The sequence below is a fragment of the Homo sapiens genome, chromosome 9 (genome assembly GCF_000001405.40).
Source record: "Homo sapiens chromosome 9, GRCh38.p14 Primary Assembly".
Classification (NCBI taxonomy): domain Eukaryota; kingdom Metazoa; phylum Chordata; class Mammalia; order Primates; family Hominidae; genus Homo; species Homo sapiens.
Genome location: NC_000009.12, coordinates 112,756,667 through 112,779,804, shown reverse-complemented (window position 1 = coordinate 112,779,804; position 23,138 = coordinate 112,756,667). Strand labels below are relative to the sequence as shown.

General features: G+C 44.6%; 1 protein-coding gene across 10 annotated transcripts in view; it reads right to left on the bottom strand.

Annotated features, from left to right (window-relative positions):
• Positions 1-23,138, bottom strand: part of SNX30 (sorting nexin family member 30) — a 136,047-nt gene that overhangs the window by 105,965 nt on the left and 6,944 nt on the right. The window contains exon 1 of one of the 10 annotated variants that reach the window (XR_007061306.1): positions 16,902-17,459. The exons of 8 other annotated variants lie outside the window; for them this stretch is intronic. Coding sequence is in view for 1 of the 2 variants with exons in the window: in XM_047423395.1 (XP_047279351.1) it covers positions 16,902-16,934 (33 nt within the window). In the remaining variant the exon portion in view is untranslated. Of the gene's footprint in view, positions 1-16,901; positions 17,460-23,138 lie in introns of those variants that run through there. One more of the 10 variants, XM_047423395.1, reaches the window with a different exon arrangement.

Here is a 23,138-nt window from a genome sequence, read left to right as displayed (position 1 = left end):
ACTCAGCCAAGTGCGCCCTGCATGGAGTAGCTCCTCCAACACCAGCTCCCTTCCCTCACCTGCCCTCACCCTTCAGCAATGAATGCAGCTCTCTTTTTGGTTTGTTTTTTGAGACAGAGTCTCACTGTGTCACCCAGGCTAGGGTGCAGTGGCGCGATCTTGGCTCATTGCAACCTCCGCCTCCCAGGTTCAAGCAATTCTCCTGCCTCAGCCTCTTAAGTAGCTGGGACTACAGGCACCTCCCACGATGCCTAGCTAATTTTTGTATTTTTAGTAGAGACGGGTTTCACCATGTTGGCCAGCTGGTCTCAAACTCCTGACCTCAAGTGATCTGCCCACCTCAGCCTCCCAAAGTGCTGGGATTACAGGCATGCGCCACCATGCCTGGTCCAACATAACCCTCTTCTATGTGTTCACTTGAGCAACAGACCGGGAAGGAAAAAAAGAGAATATGAAACAGAAGGAGAAATGAATGATGGAGAGTGAAGAGAATCCACAAAAAGCTCACCACAGTGAAGCTAATGAGGCTCACTCTTCTCTTCCCACTCACACAGTCTATCCGTCACCTCCTAAGGAGACACCTAAATGTCCCGCTAATACATTGCATACAGGACCAGCTAGAGCCCTCACAGGCAAGGCCACAGATGAAGAGAATCTAAAGGGAGAACACACTTTCGCCACCTCACATCACACGTGCCAGCAGCACCCAATTCCCTGCCAATCCTCAGACCATCAGTAATTCCCCCAAGTGCCACGAGCACTTTGTATGGGATGCCTTACTCACCTAGCTAATGCCCATTTGTGCTTCAAGACTCAGCTCCAAAGATACCTCCTCTAAGATGTGTTCTTTCTCAACCAACTTCCCCACCCACCAGTACTTGCCCAGTCTGGGCTGTGCAAATCCCCCCCCCCCAAGTTCTCTCATCATGCCCCTGTACCTAGCTCTTTCATAACACTTATGATCTGTGCTGTCATTGCCTGTTCATCCACCTGCCTCTGGCACTGAACCATAAGGTGTGAGAAAGCATGGACCTGGTAGCTGTTATTCTATCTCCAGCATGGTATCTGTGGCAGTTGGTATTTTTCAAAGGAAGGTCCTAACTATATCTCTGGTCTTACATGCTTATCTGTCATGTGACCTGGCCACTTCCCCATCAAGAGATGATGTCTATCAACCCATCCTGGTGAATCTGGGTAGACCCTCTGACTATTTTGACCAAAAGAATATGGCCGGGCCGGGCGCAGTGGCTCACGCCTATAATCCCAGCATTTTGGGAGGCCGAGGCTGGCGGATCACCTAAGGTCAGGAGTTCGCGACCAGCCTGGCCAACATGGCGAAACCCCCTCTCTACTAAAAATACAAAAATGTGCTGGGCTGGTGGCAGGTGCCCGAAATCCCAGCTACTCGAGAGGCTGAGGCAGGAGAATCACTTGAACCCGGGAGGCGTAGGTTGCAGTGAGCCGGGATCGCACCACTGTACTCCAGCCCGGGTGACAGAGCAAGACTCCATCTCAAAAAAAAAAAAAAAAAAAAGGAATATGGCCAAACTGATCCTGTGCCAATTTCAGGCATAGCCCTTATATGGCCCAGCAATTTCCACTTCCCTGACTCTTAGAATGCTCATTCTTGGGACATGCCCTCCAGGTACCCATCCACAACACTTTGAGTAGCCCAAGCCACATGGTGATGTCACACATAGGCACTCCAGTCAACTGTGGCCACAAGTGAGTCACCTTAGGCAACCAGTCCAATGAACCTCCAGTTGACTGCAGCCCCAGCCAACTTCTGACTCCAAATACAAGAGACACCTAGAGCAAAAAACACATACTTGAGGGTAGTCAACCCACAGAACCCTAAAAGATCACAGTACATTTGTGTTTTAACCTACTTAGTTTTGGGGTGGTTAAGCAATAGTACATAACCAAAACAATGTCTGCCTAGCAAATGAGGGGTAAAAGATAAAGGAACAATTAAATTGGGTATGATACAATGCGTGGCACATAGCAACCACTCAGTTTAAAAGCTGTTGCTGTTAATACTATTAAGATTACATGGAGGCCAAGTGTGGTGGCTCACACCTGTAATCCCAAAGCTTTGGGAGGTTGAGGCGGGAGGATCACTTGAGGCTAGGAGTATTAAGACCAGTCTGGGCAACATAGTGAGACCCATCTCCACAAAAAAAAAAAAAAAAAAAAAAAAAAAATTAAAAACTAGCTGGGTGTGGTGGTATGCACCTGTAGTCCCAGCTACTCTGGAAACTGAGGTGGGATGACTGCTTGATCCCAGGAGTTTGAGGCTGCAGTGAGCCATGACTGCACCACTGCACTCCAGCCTGAGCAACAGAGCAAGACTCTGTCTCTAAATAAATAAATAAATAAATAAATATCTTTAAAAAGATTATATGGAAGACGAACAAACTAGGAAACTGGTTAAAGAGGGTGTTACAGAATCCCGCCAGTGAAAAGTAATGAGATACACTGAGTCCACAATGGTGACGGGCTGAGCTCAAGTGTTTGATTCTTGTGTCACTCCAAGTTCCAAGGGAATGACAAAAGGAATATAAAAATAAAAATAAACCCATTAAAAAGCCAGAAAACAGGAACGGATGCCATCAATCAATAAGAAATTTTGAGGAATTTCTGGAAGAGATACAGCAAACAGGATCAAATTTACAGAAAAATCAGATTTAGCCAGAATTGAGGAACCAAAACCTAAAAGGTCAGTGGGAAATGCTAAATCTGGGAAGACATGGGATTTGCTATATAGGGTCTGGAAAAATACTCAAAATCAGAGACCACAGAGACTGAGAACAGAAGTAGGCACTGGGAAGGCAGGGGGCGGTGAGCAAAGGACTGTGGAGTGCCAAGTTGCTAACGCAACTGGAAGAAGGAAAAGAGGAAGGGTATTGTGGGAAGAGCATGAAATTCTCTACCTGCAGGGTAAACTCTTCCCCACTTCCTTAGTTCAGAAGGGTCCATCCAGCCTGCTGTCCTGTTATCAGCCACACATCCTGAAAGGAGGCCTGCCTAGGAGCAGTTCCAAAGACCTAGACTCTATCTGCTCCCGTCTCAGACTTACCCCACCCCTATCCACTCACCACAGCCAGGGCAAAGGCTGACTGCAGAGTCTCTGTGCACTGCCTATACATACATGTACATGTTTACACACACATAGACATGAGCGTGTGGCTACACAAATATGCACCCCAGTGGTAGCAGAAGAGCAAGTCTCAGTGCTGGGCAGGAGGAACAGCATGTGCATCACCAAGAAGGTAGAAGCAGAAGATCCGCACATCTGCAGACTGGAAACTCGGCATGCTCAAGTCTAATCAGCTCTTGTCCTTGGCCAAGATCATCATCTAGATATCACAGTCAGAGGAGGTCCAAAAACATGGGAACACTAAACAAACATAAGTGGGTTTAACTTTAAATTAAACAGAAAAGTAGAAACACCAGGATAGAATGAAATGAAAAATAAATGCATCATATAGAACATCAAACCAAGGAATTCTCTCAGGAGACACAGTGAAAATAAAATGCAATAAAATGAGACAAGAAAAGGTGAACCTAAAAAAGGACAGACCAAAACTCAGATATCCATAAGTGCTTTCTCCAGAAAAAGAGAATCAAGAACAAAAAAGGATGCAGATGAAGCAGTAAAACTAAAAGGGCCCACTGGATTTTGAGTGGGGATTAAAAAACAAAAAACATAAAATACCAGAAGAATGGTGAGATTTCTAAATTTCAGAAGAAGAAAAATCTAAGGATATGTAGAAGACTACATGAAGAAGAAAAAGAATCACTTGCACAGACTTCTCATCTGGAATAGTAAGTGCTGAACTAATTGAAACAATGGAATACTATGTAATCATTAAAAATGAAGGAAGAGTGTTGAGGCAACTAGTGGGGAGGAAGATCTCTATGTGCTAATATGGAACAATCGCCAAGAACTAAGGTTATGTGTAAAGCGTGGTACAAAAAAGTAAGGTATGCTACCATCTTTAAAAAAAAAAAAAAAAAAAAGACTACACATAGGCATTTTTATATTTATGCATAGCATATCTTTATAAAGTTTCCCCATAAATTGGTAACACTGGTTGCCTCTGAGGAGGGAAACCTGCTGACAGGGAAAGGGGATGCTAGGCCCTGGGCAAAAGGAAGATTTTTCACCAAATTTTTGTAACTTCTAAATTCTGTGTGAAGAGAATGCATTGCCTACACACACACACACACACACACACACACACACACACACACACACAAATTTAAAATAAAAAGGACAAGCCACAGAATGGGAGAATATACGATATCCAGAATATATAAAGAACTCCTGATAAGAATATATAAAGAAAATTTAGGCCGGGCACAGTGGCTCACACCTGTAATCCCAGCACTTTGGGAGGCCAAGGTGGGCCTGAGGTCGGGAGGTCGAGACCAGCCTGACCAACATGGAGAAACCCCATCTCTACTAAAAAGACAAAATTAGCCAAGTGTGGTGGTGCATGCCTGTAATCCCAGCCACTTGGGAGGCTAAGGCAGGAGAATCACTTGAACCTGGGAGGTGGAGGTTGCAGTGAGCTGAGATCACACCATTGCACTCCAGCCTGGGCAACAAGAGTAAAACTCCGTCTCAAAAAAAAAAAAAAAAAAGAAAGAAAAAATTTAGGCTGGGCACAGGGGCTCATACCTGTAATCACAGCACTTTGGGAGGCAGGCATATCATTTGAGGTCAGGAGTTTGAGACCAGGCTGACCAACACAGTGAAACCCCATCTCTACTAAAAATACAAAAAATGAGCCAGGCGTGGTGGCACACGTCTGTAATTCCAGCTACTGGGGAGGCTGAGGCATGAGAATCGCTTGAACCCAGGAGGCAGAGGTTGCAGTGAGTCGAGACGGCGCCACTGCACTCCACGCCTGGGCAACAGAGCAAGACACTGTCTCAAAAAAAAAAAAAAAAAGCATATAAATAACTCAGAACATATATATATATAGAACTGAGTAACAAAAACAACCCAAAGGCAAAAGATTTGAACAAAGACTTCACAAAAGAGGATACAGAATAGCCAATTTGCATGTGAAAGAGGCTCAGCATCATTAGTAATCATGTAAACACAAATTATAACCACAATGAGATATCACTACATACTCACTAGAATGGCTAAAACTAAAAAAGTTGACAATACCAAGTCTTGACAAGAATGTGGAGCTACCCAACTCTCACACATTACATTGTAACTTGACTCTTAGATATTTACTCAAGAGAAATGAAAACACGTCAACCAAAGACTTGCACATGAATGATCACGGCAGCTTTATTTGTGTCTTTCTAGGAATTTGTCTATTCTGTCTAAATTACATAATTTATTGGCACAGGTTCACAGTCCTCCTTGCAATCCTTTTTCCTTTCTGTAAGGTCATTAGTAACATGACCTTACAGACCCACTCTTTCATTTCTCATTTTAGTAATTTGAATCTTCTTTTTTTCTTAGTCAATCTAGCTAAAGGTCTGTCATTTTTCTTGATTTCTTTTTCAAAGAGCCAATTTTGGTTTCAGGTTTTTCTCCACTGTTTTAGACTGCTCTTTTTAATCTTGGGGTAGAAGAAGAGAAACAGAAACCTGAAAAGCCCTGAAATGCAACAGACTCTCCAGTGGGGATTTGGCTAGCAGCACCTAGCACAGTGCCCGACACTTGATAAATATTTGATGAATAAATGAATGGAATATGAACTTCCTAAGTCCAGTTTCTCTCATCCATTTCCTCTGGGAGAGAATTCTGTTTTCTGGCCAGTGAAATAAACCTTTCTTCTGAAGACAAACAGGTCACATAGAAAGATTCCTCTTTTCTTTTCAGCATCATCATGTTGAATGAGCCAAGAGTAATTTACTTATTGAAACAAAATGAAAATCAAATTAAGGAGAAGACGTGAACATTTCTACTATAATCAGATCCATGGTAATATAAATATAACATAATTGTGAATATTTATTGTGAGCTGCTTATTTGTTAAGGCTATCTGTAATTTGGCCTTGAAGTCATAATTTATAGTAAATGAATCCTAGCTCACTCAGGATTTTCTTCTCCACAATTTATGTACTCTTTCTGCAGAACTGGTTGTTTCCCCTTCCCCATATGCCTTGAGTTTTATCATAGTCTCACTATATAATCTTACTATTCTAGAAAGCATTCTTCCTTTTCTTTCATCTTTTACTTTCTGAATATTTAAGGTACACCACACACCTCAAGATGCACCTATTCCTACTATCAGTATCTATCAAAATATATGTAAGTCTTAGCTACTTGGGAAGATTGCTTGAGCCCAGGAGTTCAAAGCTGCAGTGAGCCACAATCACGCCACTGCACTCCAGCTTGAATGACAAAGCGAGATCCTATCTCTTAAAAAAAAAAAGCAAATAATCTTCTTTGTAGCCATATAAAGTATGTTGTTCATATGAGTTATGACTATCAGTTATGAGAAGAGATTTTGGACCCTATTGTACATAACCTTATTAAGCTATCAAAACAACCTTATGAGACAGGTACTATTATTAACCCCATTTTATGGATGGGACAACAGGGTTCAGAGGAGGTAAGTGATTGCCAGCCAGTAAGTGATTATATTAGAACTCCCTTGGCCAACTCTAAAGGCTCTATTCTCTCTACGCAGCTGCAACGGCCTCACACCTACATTGCTCTAACCAACCTCTCTAACAATTCTCAACTTCTTTACACAGTGTGCTTCCTTGCTTTGGAACAAGAGGTGGTAAGTATGCTTTATTCATTTAGCTTCTGGCAACATTGTTTCTCACAATTAACAGATTAACAGATTCTCTTGACCCATTTACTGCAACACCACAAATCTACAGATAGCTGGGAAGTTCCTTGATTCACGAATAAATCAATAGCAAGACTTTTCAAGTAGCCTTTTCATAATTTAAACACAAGGAGAATTTAAAATGGGAAATGTGTTTTTGTTTTAAATCAAGGAGCAAACACGCCAGGATCAACACTTGAAGACATATTCGTTTATGTAGTAACAAAACTGGTTTATGTGAAATGCAAACATTGCTTTCATAACTTACGATCTTGGGATACTGCAATGTATCTTTAATAAACATTACCCTTTCTACTCACACTCAGTACTGGGTACAGCAAAATCTAAGAGAATTTGAATGATTTGAGAAAAGCAAAATACAGTGGCTACCTTGTTCTTCAGAGTCAGACTGGAAGTGAAGATGTGACCATTTTGCTCAAACCATGGCAGGGGAGACACGCCTAGATATCTCCACACGCACACACGAGTACCACAGCCCCACACCTGTCAATCCACAAATCTAAACAATGTCTAGCCTATCATACTATATGAGATACTTTCTAGGTTACTCAAAAAGCTTCAAGAATACCTAAAATAATGTGCCAGGTCTCCCAGCACACCTGGAGAGGAGGATCTGGTTACAGCAGAAGAGTGAAGGCAACTCAACTGCATCCTCTTACAAAGAGGTGTCAGTCTAATCCCCAACAGAGCCACCTCCCAGAAACACTTCTTCCATTTCCACTTGTTGACAAGTTGGTCGTTCCTCTCTCTGGGGAGAAACTGAAATGAAGCTAGAGTAACCCCTCACTAGAATAAGGATTGTTCTAAAGGAAACCAGAACAGAGCTAACGTCACCGGGCTGAAAACACCTCTTCCTCTTTCACGGAGACTGGCAATGTTCTAGGCAAGGAAAGTCCTCTGCCAGGAAGGATGAGGGCAAGGGCATGAAATGGGGTCCAATAAAGTCTGGACAACTGTGAAACAACCGAAGGTTTGCCCCTGCTCCATGACTTGAACCAGGAAAAAAAAGAATGTCTCAAGCCAGAACAAAAAGTTCACAAAATTGACCACAGAGGGAAAGGGTAAAACTCACCACAAGCCAACATTCACCCATATTTGACCTGAACAGATTTGAAAAACTACCAGAAAAGCACTGTCTCTTTTTTCCCTTTGTCACAGTTTAGCCTTATCTCTTTGGGGTTTTGAGCAGTTATGAAAATGTGGCTGTTATCCCTTCTCAAAAACAGTCATAACTGCTCAACAGGACTATGAGTGAGAGCCCTCACTGGCCCCTTTTTTTGAAGCATGATCAGAGTTTGTTTGGTATCAACCATTATTAACCAAATTAGAAAGAGAGAGGGAAGATTCTTTCTCCCTAATTTGGTCAAATAGCCACCCGGGGAGACTATACTCTTGAAGGCTGGGAGAAGGACCCTTCTGACACAGCAATGCTGCATCCTTCCAAGGCTGGCAGACATACTGACATAAATTCTTTCACACACACGCAAGACAGACTATACACGATTTATACATTTTTTCAACTTAACGTTTTTTTCCATTGTTGCATATAAGTATATACAGGGCTGCCTTATTCCTTTTAATACCACATTTCAAAAACTACCATAGTTTACAAAACCAGCACCCTACTAATAGCCATATAAGCTTTTATCTTTTGCTATTAAAAATAATACTGCAACAGGTATCCTTATACACACAGCATTTAGCACGGGTCCATTTATTGAGTCACCAAATATCTGTATACTCCACCCATACCAGGTTTGGTTCATGCATGGAAATTTAGCAATAAGCAAACCAGATCAGGCCCCTTGCCTTCAAGAAGTTTACAGCACAGTACTGGAGAAAGTAAACCAAGTATGTCTGGTGGTTTAAGTTCTGCGAAGCAAGATTAAAGCCAGGTAAAGGGGGAGAATAACTGGGCAGGGAGGGGTCTGCTACTAGTTTGTTTTTTGTTTGTTTGTTTATTTGTTTGTTTTTGACACAGAGTCTCACTCTGTCACCAGGCTGGAGTGCAGTGGCCCGATCTCGGCTCACTGCAACTTCTGCCTCCTGGGTTCAAGAGATTCTCCTGCCTCAGCCTCCTGAGTAGCTGGGACTACAGGCACGCGCCACCACGCCCAGCTAATTTTTGTATTTTTAGTAGAGATGGGGTTTCACCATGTTGGCCAGGATGGTCTCTATCTCTTGACCTCGTGATCCGCCTGCCTCGGCCTCCCAAAGTGCTGGGATTACAGGCGTGAGCCACCGCGCCCGGCCAGGGGCTGCTACTAGTTTATACAGGGAGGTTGGGGGAGGCCTGAATGAAATAGATGAACAAGCCTGCAGGCTGTCTGGGCCAAAAGGCGTGAGGCAAGGGAGTGGGCAGGGGGAGAGAGAAGTGGACGGAGGCCAGAGAAGCAGCAGAGCCAGATTACCCATGTACTTGGAGCCCATGGAGGATTTGAGGGGAATGTGTGAGAACTGAGAAGTCTCTGGATGGTTTCAAGCAAAAGCAAAAAAGAGGCCAGGCGCGGTGGCTCATACCTGTAATCCCAGCACTTTGGGGGGACGAGGTGGGCAGATCACAAGGTCGGGAGTTCGAGACCAGCCTGGCCAACATGGTGAAACCCCATCTCTACTAAAAATACAAAAAATTAGTCGGGTGTGGTGGCAGGTGCCTGTAATCCCAGCTACTCGGGAGGCTGAGGCAGGAGAATTGCTTGCACCCAGGAAACAGAGGTTGCAGTGAGTCGAAACCGCACCACAACACTCCAGCCTGGCCAACAGAGTGAGACTCCATCTCAAAAATTAATTAATTAATTAATTAAATTTAAAAAGCAAGAGACATGATGCGACTGATGTTTCTTATGTTTTAAATAATCCCTCCGGTTGCTGCCTGGATATATGACTGAAGGTGGGAAGGTGGAAGCAGGAAGACGAGTCAGGCGGCTGGTACAGTAATGCAGGCAAGAGGGGATGACAGCAGTCAGGGTAGCAGCAGTGGAGAGAGTGAGAAGTGATGAGATTCTGGACATGGTATTTCAGAAGCACTTGCTGATGGCTTAGGTATGGGATGAAAAAGGGAAGAGCCGAGGCTAATTCCAAGGCTTATCCTTGGAATTAAGAGTGAGCTAGATAACTAGCTTGACATGCCTGTTGGAGATGCAGGGTTAAACATCAAGAAGGCAGTGGGAGACAGGAATTTGGAATTCAGGAGAGAGGTTTCTGGCCTGGAGTTATCAGTGTGTAGATGTGTGAGGCTGGATGAGATTGCTTAGGGACACCATGCAGATGAAGAGAGGCCATATCAGAATGGAGTCCTACAGCAGTCCAACATTTAGAGCTAGGGAGATGAGACGGAACCAGCCAAGGAGACAGAGGAGGAACAGCCAGTAAGGTACATAAGGAACCAACAGTGAGTGGAATCCCAGAAGCCAAGTGAAGATTCAGCTCTTCCTGTCTGTGCCAGGGTGGTGCCTGGTCCATGCCAAGCTACAGAGATGCCTTAGTTGTGCCCTCAGGATGACTGCATGGACATGGCTGCACCCACAGTAGTGGAGACTCCTGGCATCAAGCTCTTGGGGAAGTGGACACTTTCCTGCAGGATGGCACTGCAGTGATGGAGAAGTGATGCCAAGTGCCAGCCCCACAGCCCAGGATGCTATGCGGCCAAGCACTTCTGCAAGTGAAGGGAGGATCAAAAGACAGAAACGACCTCAATGTAGAGGTCTTGAATGATGTTAACTAGAGGTGGAGAGGAAAGAAAGCCTTCTCCCTTCACATGCTAGTTTATCCGCAGGACAGACACAAACAGAAAAGAACTTGTTGAATCAAAAGAAACATACGTATTTGTAATTTTGATATATGTTGCCAAATTGCCTCCACAGGTGTTTGTACCATTAGCCATATATGAAACTACACCTACTGGGCAAGGCTGAATGAGAAAAGCTGAAAGCATGCTTGTCTGATAGTGAACTTCCTCTGAGTGAATTAGAGAATTCTCCTAAGTCAACTGATCTCAATCTTGGCTGCCCGTTAGAATTATCATGGTGGCTCACGCCTGTAGTCCCAGCACTTTGGGAGGCTGAAGTGGGCGGATCACGAGGTTGGGAGTTCGAGACCAGCCTGGCCAACATGGTGAAACCCATCTCTACTAAAAATACAAAAAAATTAGCCAGCGTGGTGGCAGGTGCCCGTAATCCCAGCTACTTGGGATGCTGAGGCAGGAGAATCACTTGAACCTGGGAGACAGAGGCTGCAGCGAGCCAAGATCGTACCATTGCACTCTAGCCTAAGCGACAAGAGCAAGACCGTCTCAAAAAAAAAAAAAAAAAAAAAAAAAAAAGAAGAAAGAATTATCTAGAGAAACTTTACAAAAAAAAAAAATACTGCTCCCTGGGCCATCCTATTAGATCTAAATTTCTTGAGATAGGGACCAGGCATCAGTATTGTCTAAGAGATCTTTGGAGGATCTGAATGCTTAGCCAAGACTGATAACCTTGTTCTAAGACAGTGTTTCTCAATGTTTAATGTGCATACAAATCACTTAGGGATCATGTCAAAATGCAGATTCTGAATCTCTGTATCTGGAATTAGGTCTGAGAGTCTGCAGTTTCTATGAGCTCTCAGGTGATGTCAATGCCACTCACCTATGAGCCACACATTAAGTAGCGAGGTTCTAAAGCAATAGATGTCGGCTGGAAACATCGAGAGGAGGATGAGCTTAGCACGGGTGGGAAAGCAAGAATTCGCATGACATTCCAGGCAGCTCACGAGGAAAATCACTTGGCAGAGACGTAACTTCCCAGGAGGGCACCAGGGAGGTAAACAGGTACCTGATCACAGAAGGCCAGGCTAAGGACTTGGACCATTACTGCGTAAGCAATGGGGAGTCAATGCAGATCTCCAAAGATGGGAATGATCCATACAAGGCAGCACTTTATGAAGGTGGATTCTGGCTACAGTACTCAGAACAGACTGGATGGGAGAGGAGGGCCTGAATGAATGAAAGCCAGGAAAACCATTTAGATAATCATACATCCAATTAGGATATCAACAACGGAAATGAAGAGCAACATTAAAGAACAGTGGCTGGCCAGACAAAATGGCTCACATCTGTAATCTCAATACTTTGGGAGGCCAGGGTGGGAGGATCGCGTGAGTTCAGGAGTTTGAGACCAGCATGGACAACATAGGGAAACCCTGTCTCTACAAATAAATAAATAAATAAAAAAAATTAGCTGGACATGGTGGCATAAGCCTGTGGTCCCAGCTACTCAGGAGGCTGAGATGGGAGGATCACTTGAGCCTGGGAGGTTGAGGCTGCAGTGAGCCGAGATCGCATCACTGCACTCCAGCCTGGGCGACAGAGTGAGACTCTGTCTCAAAAAAGTAAAAAATAAAATAAAAAGTAACTTAAAATAAAGACCTAAACATCAGACCCAAAACCATAAAACTCCTAGGAAAAAAAACATAGGGGAAAAGCTTCATGACACTGAAGTTGGCAATAGATATGATATCAAAAGCACAGACAGCAAAAGCAAAAACAGGCTAACCTAAAAACTTATGTTTTGTCCGAAGGACACAACCAACAGAGTAAAAAGGCACTTACAGAATGGGAGAAAATGCTTGCAAAACATATATCTGAGAAGGGGCTAATACTAAGAATATATAAACAACTTCAATAACAGTTTTAAAAGACCCAATTTTAAAATGGGCAGGGGACTTGAATGGACACTTCTCCAAAGATGACATATAAATGGCCAATAAGCGTATGAAAATATATTGAACATCAGAAAACTGCAAACCAAAACTGCAATGAGCTATAACCCCACACTTTCTAGAATAACTACTATCAAAAAAAAAAAATAAAATAATTAGTGTTGGCAAAGACATGGAGAAAACAGAAGCCTTGTATACACTGTTGGCAGGATTGTAAAATGGTGCAACTGCTTTGGAAAACAGTATGACGAGTCCTCAAAAAATTAAAAACAGGTTATCACATGATCTGCCAATCCCCTTCTAGGTATATATCCATATCCAAAAGAAGGTCTCAAAGAGATATTTGCATAACCATGTTCATTGCAGCATTGTTCACAATGGCCAAGAGGCAAAAGCAACCTAATGTCCATCAGAAAAATGGGTTAAGAAAATGTGATACATATACACAATGAAATACTATACAGCCTTAAAAAAGATGGAAATCCTGTCACATGCTACAGCATGGATGAGCCTTAAGGATGTTATGCTAAGTGAAATAAGCCAGTCACCAAAAGACAAATATTGACAATTCTATTTACAGGAGGAATCTAAAGTATTCAAAAACAATAGAAACAAAGTGGAAAGGTAGTGACCTAGGGCTGGGGAAGACAGAGAATGGCAGCAGTCATTTAATGGGTATAGAATTTCAGTTTTGCAAGATGAAAAAGTTCTGGAGATCTGTTGCACAACAATGTGAATATACTTAACACTACTCAACTGTATACTTAAAAATGGTTAAGATGATTAAAAACAAGCCAGGGTACTTAACGCCATCGTATTGTACATTCATATCTAAAATTACCATTAACCTCAAATGTCAAAATTATTGTAGAAAAGTCATAAATTGTATTTAATGTCTTTTCTTTGGGAAAAAAAAAAGTACATGTGCTTAGGAAACAACCCAATGTCCATCAATGGATGAATAAACAAAATGTGGTATATCCATAAAATGAAGTATTATTCACCCATAAAAAGGAATGAAGTAACACTGGAGGGGTGGAGGAAAAGGAGAGATACTGGTCAAGAAGTGTGAATTTTCCATGACAGGATGAATAAGTTCTGGAGACCTAATATACGGCATGGTGACTATAATGTATTTTATACTTAAAATCTGCTAAGAAAATAGATCTAGGCTGGGCGTGGTGGCTCACACCCGTAATCCCAGCACTTTGGGAGGCCGAGGCAGGTGGATTACGAGGTCAGGAGATCAAGACCATCCTAGCTAACATGGTGAAACCCCATCTCTACTAAAAATACAAAAATCAGCCAGACATGGTGGCGTGCACCTGTATTCCCAGCTACTCGGGAGGCTGAGGCAGGAGAATCACTTGAACCCAGGAGGCAGAGGTTGCAGTGAGCTGAGATCGCGCCACTGCACTCCAGCCTGGGCAACAGAGTGAGACTCCATCTCAAAAAGAAAAAAAGAAAATAGATCTAAAGTGTTCTCACCACAAAAAGGCAATTATGTGAGGTGATGGATATGTTTAGCTAGCTTAATTGTGGTAATCATTTCACAATATTTAAGTGTATCAAAACATGTTGTACATCTTAAGTCTATACAATTTTTGTCAATCATACTTCAATAAAGCTGGAAAGGGAAAGGAATGAAGTACTGATACATACAACATGGAGGAGGCTTTCAGACACTAGATTAACTGAAAGAAGCCAGGCACGAAAGGCCACACATATTGTATGATTCCATTTATATGAAATGTCCAGAATAGGAAAACTCCAGAGACAGATGGCAGATTAGCAGTTGCCAGGGGCTGGGAATAGGGAAAATGGACAGTGTTTGCTCACAGGTATGGGGTATCTTTTTGAGATGATGAAAATGTTCTGGAATTAGATAGCAGTGACCATTGCATTATCTTGTGAATATATTCAAAACCACTAAAATGTATGCTTTAAAAGGGTGAATTTTATGGTATGTGAAGTATATCACAATTTGTAAAAGGCATACATGCCTTAGAAAATCTATAATTTTTGACCTACTTTTCCTCAAATTCCTGTTCTATTCTTGCCATCATTCAGCCAGTTCCTAAAGCCAGTGACCCTAGAGTCTCTTCCACAGTGATCTTTCACTGTTTGTCCTGCACACCTCACAGCTGCTTCTGAACCCGGTAGCTGGAATTGGGACTTCCTTACTGTTTCAGTCTCCTCCCCAAGCCACTGTTGATTGGCCCAGGTTGAGCTCAGTTGATCAGCCTAAAGGTAGGCACGTGACCCAAGCCAGGTCTCCCTGACCTTTTCCCCTGGGAAGATAGACTCACTCCCTTTCTGGAGGCACAGCTGTGCAATGTGAGGGAGGCGCGCTGCCACAACTCCCCCTGCGTCGATGATGTTAGTCTGAGAGAATAAAGCCGACCCTCAGTAGCATTCAGACCCCTGGTTCCAGCTTACTCCTACGTTAAAGCAAGCCTGTCTATAGGCTCACCTTTTTGCTAAGTTAATGCAAGCTAGATATCTATTATTTGCAAGCAAACCACTAACCAGTACACTCTCTGAATCCAGTGAGCCAAAGCCCTACTGAAACTGCCTCCCCCAACCTCCCACTGCAACAGCCTTCTTCTTGGACTCCTTGCCGCCAGGCTCCACCCACCCAATCCCAGCTAGTTCTTGATCAGTGACTCTAACCCCAAACACGGCCCTGTTCCTCCCCCGCTTAAAACACTTGATTGGAATGAAAAGATTAGCCAGGCACAGTGACACATGCCCACAGTCCAAGCTACTCAGTAGGCTGAGGTAGGAGGATTGCTTAAGCCCTGGAGTTCTAGTAAACTATGATTGTGCCACTGCCCTCCTCCACCCTGGCCAAAAGAGTGAGACCCCATCTCTTTAAAAAACAGCAACAACAACAACGACGACAAACACTTAATTGGTCTCCCAATTACTCAGGTTAAAGTCCTTACTATTTGCCACTACAGACCACAGCCAGGACCCTACCAACCTTTCCAGCCTCATCAATCCCCTTGCTCGCTGTGCGTGCATCACTTGACACTGCTAAGCTTTAGTATGTGCTGGTTCTTCCGCCTGAGTTGCTCTTCCTTCTGTCCATTTGTAAGACATGTATTCCTTCATTCTCCAGCTCAAACATCATCTTCTTTGGAAAAGCCACCATCCTCCAAAGCAAGGTCTCACCCTACTTTATTCCCTATACATAACTTTCATCATCTACATGGACATAGGGCATGGAATGACAAAGGAGACTCGAAAGGGTGGAGGAAATGGAAGAGGGGTGGGTGATGTGAAATTATTGAGTACAATATACATTATTTGGGTGATGGGTACCCTAAAAGCACTGGATTTCACTACACAATCTATCCATGTAACAAAATTACATAGGTACCCCGTAAATTTAAACAAATAATTTTTTTTTTTTTTTTTTTAGTCAGAGTCTCACTCTGTCACCAGGCTGGAGTGCAGTGGCACAATCTTGGCTCACTGCAATCTCCAACTCCCTGGTTCAAGCGATTCTCCTGCCTCAGCCTCCCAAGTAGCTGGGATTACAGGCACGCGCCGCCATGCCCAGCTAATTTTTGTATTTTTAGTAGAGACGTGGTTTCACCATGTTGGCCAGGATGGTCTCGATCTCCTGACCTCGTGATCCACCCTCCTCGGCCTCCCAAAATGCTGGGATTACAGGCATGAGCCACGGCGCCCGGCCTGTCACTCAGGTTTAACAAATAATTCTTTTAAAAAACATAATAACTGGGCCAGGTATAGTGGCTCACATCTATAATCCCAGCACTTTGGGAGGCCGAGGTAGCAGGATCGCTTGAAGCCAGAAGCTCAAGACCAGCCTGGGCAACATAGTGAGACGCCTCTCTCTACACACACACACACCAAAAAAAAAAAAAAAAAAAAAAAAAAAAGTTTAAATAGCAAGGCACACCATACACCACTAGGAGCTAAGACTGGTCAGGAGCTGAGGACTACTCAGGAGGCTGAGGCAGAAGGATCACTTAAGCTCAGGAGGATTTTGAGGCTGTAGGAGCCAAGATTATGCCACTATACTCCAGCCTGGGCAACAGAGCAAGGCCCCATCTCTAAAAAATATATATATACATATATAAACTGTAGCAGATGCTGTCAGTGCCCCACCCATACAACCCCTCACCCTGATCACACTTCAGTGCCCACTGGTCTGACTTCCACCTACCAGCATCTGCATGTCTTGGCCTGACCGCTTCCCCTGGCCACTGAACCTCCTCTGCCCACCCATGGGGCAGGCTAGAAAGCACCTGGTGATTCACGTCCAAACACCCCACCCAAGCAGCCGTCAACCAATGAGTAAAGAGAGCTGCTGTTTGAAGACCCCAGCTTCCTCACCTGGAGTGGGAATAACCGAGGCTCGTGCTCCATGCTGGCTCCCAGCGGCTTCCTCCGTGGGGTAAAGCTCCAGCTCTGCTCAGTGGAAACTGGCTTGGTAACGTCGCCTCTGCTGATTGCCTTCCCTTCCCTGTCTCGCTGCCTTGCTCCTCTAATGCCAGTTCCTTCAGCTCTCAAGCGAACTATGGGCGATTAAATGCTTTCTCAGGGTCTGCTTCTAAGGCAACGACAAGACTTAGCACTGCTGTGGCCTTTACTGTGCCCCAGACACTAAACACCCAGCTAAGCTTCAGAATCCCCCTGTAAGATAATCCCAATTTTAGATAGGGGAAACAGAGGCATTACAAGGTTAAGAAACTTGCCCAAGGCCACAGAGCTAAGTAAATACATGCAGCATTTTTCACATGCTACCGCAACCATCTGTTGATGTGTCTCTCTTCTTCACTGGACCATTAACCTCTCGGGGGAGAGATCTTCTTTATCTTTCTCTACAGCCCCAGCATGTAGCACAGAGCCAGGTATGTAGCATATGCTCACGAGCTATAGGGGTTTTGAAAAGCGCCTGCACTCGGCCACCCAAACACGCTGTGTGCTCTTCCCGCCTCTGTGCCCCTTCTCAAGCAGGAACCCCCAAACACCTTTTCCACTATCCCACTTCCCCCCCACCAACACACACACAAAAATTCACACAAACAACAATTCCTGATCCCTGCGCTGGCTGCCAAAATGAAGAATTCTATGGGGCAAGGCAGACATAAGACAGCATATGAGTCCTCTAATGTCTAGTAAACAAACCCCATTGCTCATACATGCATCAGCGCCTGTTGGCCAGGCTGTTGTTTATGTACTTATTTTACTTTGAGAGGCTCTCATTTATCGTGGAACACCGGCCTTCCTCCCAGTGGCCTTCACTAACACCTGATTTTCAAACTGCGATGACATCCTACCCCCTACTTTATTGTCAATATGCACTTTGTCTAAATTCTGACCTCAAACCTCTCCATCTTCTATTCCAGTCTCTATTTGGATCTACTGGGATTATACATCTATTTAATAAAAAAGAGCTTCCTGGAGGCAGCATTTGTTTGAGCCTTGAAGTTTGAGTAGGCTTGCAACAGTGGCCTTCAGGCATCCTCTGTCCTGAATGCCTGACTTGAAACCGTGTCCACGTCATCTTTACACTTCACTCGCACATGTGCTTCCCGGTCTGCGCCCCCCTCTCAAAGACGGCACCACTGTTCAGCATCAATCTCCTGGACTTTCTAGTCAGTCACCCCCACTACACCAAAATCTGTCATCTTTATATTTTCTAATCTTTCTCTTGTCAGGCAACAAGTCCAACCAAAACCAGGTTAATTCTTCCTATCTTACCTCTTTCACGGCTGGTCTTTCCCCATCCCAAGCCCTGATCACACATCCCCCTGCTCAAAAACCCTCTTGGGGCCGGGAGCAGTGGCTCACACCTGTAATCCTAGCACTCTGGGAGGCCAAGGAGGGTGGATCACCTGAAGTCAGGAGTTTGAGACCAGCCTAGCCAACATGGTGAAACCCCATCTCTACTAAAAATACTAAAATTAGCCTGGCGTGGTGGCATGCACCTGTAATCCCAGCTACTCGGGAGGCTGAGGCAGGAGAATCGCTTGAACACAGGAGACGGAGGTTGCAGTGAGTCAAGGTAACACCACTGCACTCCAGCCTGGATGACAGAGCGAGACTCCGTCTCAAAAACAAACAAACAAACAAACAAAACCACGCCCTCTAGGACTAGCTACTGCTGAAAGAATAAAAGCTAACCTCCACATCACAGCACTCAAAACAGTCTCATTAACCTCCTGACCTGTCTACCCACCTCGTCTCTCACTAATCTCCACCTCTAGACTCTCAAAACCCACTCCCAACGCATGACCCAATTCAGTCCTCCTCCAGCGGCCACAGGTCTTTCCTGTCTCTGCCCTTCACCTTGGGGCTTTTCCCACCCCACATCTGAAAGCCCCCTCCAACTTCACGGACCTGGTGAAAACACAACCTCTGCGACCTCAGCTGATCTGCAGACATACCCCCAGCTAGTGGGGCTGCCAATAGGAATAAACACCCCATTCTCCCTACTCCTCAGGTAAAACCCAATTTTCAAGTCATATTTTAAGGTCACGGTATTGGTAATTTAAGTTTCAAGTGGCAAACCAAATTGAAAACAGTATTAACAAAAGGGAATTTATGACCCCCTATAACCAGGAACCCGTTCTAACTTCAGGCACAGCTGGCACAGTCGGATCCTGAACTCAAATGATCTTGCCCCTCTTCCTCTCCTAGCTCTACTTCCCTCTGGCTTCATTCTTAAGCCAAGCACTCTCTGCATTGAAGGACACGACCATTCACAATCTAGTAGAAAGGCAAGACATTCTTTCCCCCATCATCCATCTCATAAATCTCAGGAAAGACTGCCTGGCTCTGTTAGGGTCACACATCCACCAGGGATGCTATTTTGGCTAATAAAAGATATTGATGTTAGACCAGAATGGGAAGGATGAGGAGACAAGCCAGGGTATTTCTGTCCCAACCTGCTCTCTGCCTCAGATCGTGCCACTGGCAGCGGCTGCCTCCCCTCCAGGGCCCCCTTCCTCTAAGGTCCCAGCTCCTGCTCAATGACCCTGCCACAGGTCTAGTTCTCACAGAAGCTCCTGGGTTCTACTTAACTTCGCCTCTTCCCCTAACCCTCCAGTCCTGAGGGTAACAGCAACTTCCTGCTACTGCTACTCTCTGGGTCAATTTACCACCCATCACCTATGCAACTAACTCCTTGTATTATAGTCTCTCTGTTTGAAATAACTTCACTGGCTTTTATTCCCTGATCAGACCTCAACTAATATAGAAATCGACAAAGCATAGGCCAAAATGTAGAAAGAAATGTGGAGAGTACAATATCAAGGAATAACAACCACCAACACCTCCCATTTCTTAAAGGTTCGCTATATACATCACCCACTACTCTACGAACTCGCTGGGTCTTCCTATCAACCCAGTGACATGGGCACATCTGTTATCCCCTTTTCACAGATGAGAAAACTGAGGCTCAGAGACGTTAAACAACTTGCTGTTACCAAGACTCTAAGTGGTGGGGCTGAGATTCAAATCCAGACAACATGATTCCAGCATGAACAACTTTTTTTTTTTTTTTTGAGATGGAGTCTTGCTCTGTCGCCAGGCTAGAGTGCAGTGGCGCAATCTCAGCTCACTGCAACCTCCACCTCCCCGGTTCAAGCGATTCTCCTGCCTCAGCCTCCCAAGTAGCTGGGACTACAGGTGTGCGCCACCATGCCCAGCTAACTTTTTGTATTTTTAGTAGAGACAGGGTTTCGCCATGTTGGCCAGGATGGTCTTGATCTCTTGACCTTGTGATCTGCCTGCCTCGGCCTCCCAAAGTGCTAGGATTACAAGCGTGAGCCACCATGCCTGGCCCGTGTGCACACCTTAAAACAGGAAGTGGAGGGGAAGCATTTCAAGCAGGAGGTTAACAACAGGATCAAGTGTTACCTACCAAGGGGTCAGGCAAAATAAGGACTATAAAGCATCTACTGGATTTAGCAATAATGAGATCACTGAGGACCCTGAAGAACAGAGTCAGAAACTAGGCAGCAGGAGGCTGAGGAGTATGTCAGAGGTCAGGAAGTGGAAGCAAGGGCCGCAAACCTTCTCTTCAGAAAAGTGTATTGTAAAGAGGAGTCACAAAATAGGGCACAAGACCAGGCACAGTGACTCAGGCCTATAATCCAAGCATTTTGGGAAGTTGAGGCAGGAAGATCACTTGAGGCCAGGAGTTCGAGACCAGCCTGGGCAACAAAGCAAGACCTTATCTCCACCCCCACAAAAAAAAGGCACCAGATGGAGGAGAAAAGAACATCATAGCAGAGCTTCCTTTACTCTTTCTCTCTGTGTGTGCACGTGCGCGCGTGTGTGTGTGTTTAATAGAGACAAGTTCTCACTATATTGCCCGGGCTGGTCTTAAACTCCTGGGCTCAAGCGATTGTGTGTGTATGTGTGTGTGTGTGTGTGTGTTTAACAGAGACAAGGTCTCACTATATTGCCCAGGCTGGTCTCAAACTCCTGGCCTCCAGCAATGTTCCTGCCTTGGCCTCCCAAAGTGCTGAGATTACAGGCAAGAGCCACCACGCCCAGCCACTCTTTCTGTGTTTTAAAAATCAGAGCAACTTGGCCAGGCATGGTGGCTCACAACTGTAACCTCAGCATTTTGAAAGGCTGATGCGGGCAGATCGCTTGAGCTCAGGAGTTCGAGACCAACCTGGCCAACATGGCGAAACCCCGTCTCTACCAAAAACACAAAAATTAGCCAGGCGTCAAGACCAGCCTGGCCAACATGGCGAAACCCCATCTCTACCAAAAACACAAAAATTAGCCAGGCATGGTGATGCGCGTCTGTGGTCCCAGCTACTCAGGAGGCTGAGGCAGGAGAATCTCTTGAGCCCAGGAGGCAGAGGTTGCAGCGAGCCAAGATCGTGCCACTGCACTCCAGTCTGGGTGACAAAGCCAGATACTGTCTCAAAAAAAAAAAGAGAGAGCGCAACTTGAGCATGTTTAAATATTGATGGGAGTGAGCTGGTTGAGAGGGAGTCCAAAGATACAGGGGTAAGTCAGGAGGCCAAACAGAGCAGGGTCTCCAAGAGGATGGGGGGTGGCAGGTGGGTCTACACCCTCAGTCAGCCTTAGACTCTCTCCTTGGAACAAGGGCCAGAAAGAAAACATGGCTATGGAGTCAGATCATTCTGAAATTTGAAGAAGGGAAGTTCCTTTCTGGTGGCTTCCATCTTCTCTAAGGTGGAAGGTGAGGCAATCAGCAGAAGGAAGGGTGGAGTAGAAGGGTAGAGGGTATGAGGAGCAGAGAAAAGTTTCAGATAAGCCACTGTGCAGACGGAGGGTCTGTGGAAAAGAAGGAGTGTCCAGGACCACTGAAGCCCCAGCTGTGGCTGAAACCTGTGAACTTACATTGGCAGCAACCCTTGAGCTTCCTGAGAACCCTGGTTGTAGATGAAAGACATGAACAAATGGAATGATCCAAGCTGGGTATAAAAAGAAGAGAGCAAGGGAACTGAATATAGAGGCAGGAGCAACCACGGAGATGGGCCACAGAATCTAAAGGAGGTAGGGGAATCCAAGAGGTCACAGAACAGAACAGGTATAGTCAGTTGTTAATGACTCAGAGACCTGGAAAGCCAGGACGGGAAAGCAAGACAAAATGATATACGCGGGGAAAAGGGAACTTTTGTACAACGCTGTTAGGAATGTAGATTGGTACAGCCATTATGGAAAACAGTATGGAGGTTTCTAAAGACATTAAAAATAGAACCACCATATGACCCAGCAATCCCTCTTCTGGGCACATACCCAAAGGAACTGAAATCAACACCTCATAAAGATATCTGCACTCCCACATTCACTGCAGCATTATTCACAATAGCCAAGATATAGAAACAACCTAAGCAGGCCTCAATGGACGAACAGATAGAGAAACTGTACTGTGTGTGTACACACAAAACTGAATATTATTCAGCCCCAGAAAAGAATGACATCTTGTCATTTGCCATAACGTGAATGAGCCTGAAGGAAATTATGCTAAGTGCAACAAGCCGGACACAGAAAGAAAAACACTGAGTGATCTCACTTACATATGGAATCTTTAAAAAAATTCAAATATATAGAGAAAGAACACAAAATAGTGGCTACCAAGGGCAGGTGGGAGAGGAAATGGGAAGATGTAGGTAAACGGATACAAAATAGCAGATATGGAGGAGTGTACAAGTCTGGAGATCTAATGTAGAACATGAGGACTAGAGTTATTAATAATAAAATTGTACTGTACTTGACAATCATGCTAAATGAGTCAATTTAGATGCTCTTGCCACAAAAACAAAATGAGTTAACTATGAGATGATGACTGTGTTCATTTGCTCCACTATAGTAAACTTTTACTATCTATGTGTATCCCATAACATCAAGTTGTATACCTTAAATAAACACAATAAAATGTGATAATATCCAGTGGCACTATTTCAGAGCTGGAATGCTTCTAGGTATTACAACGCAGGGTGCGGCCGTGGGAGAGAGCAGATGAACTGTTAAAAAGGTGAAGGAGCCGAGCGCAGTGGCTCACGCCTGTGATCCCAGCACTTTCAGAGGCCGAGGCAGGCGGATCACCTGAGGTCAGGAGTTCGAGACCAGCCTGGC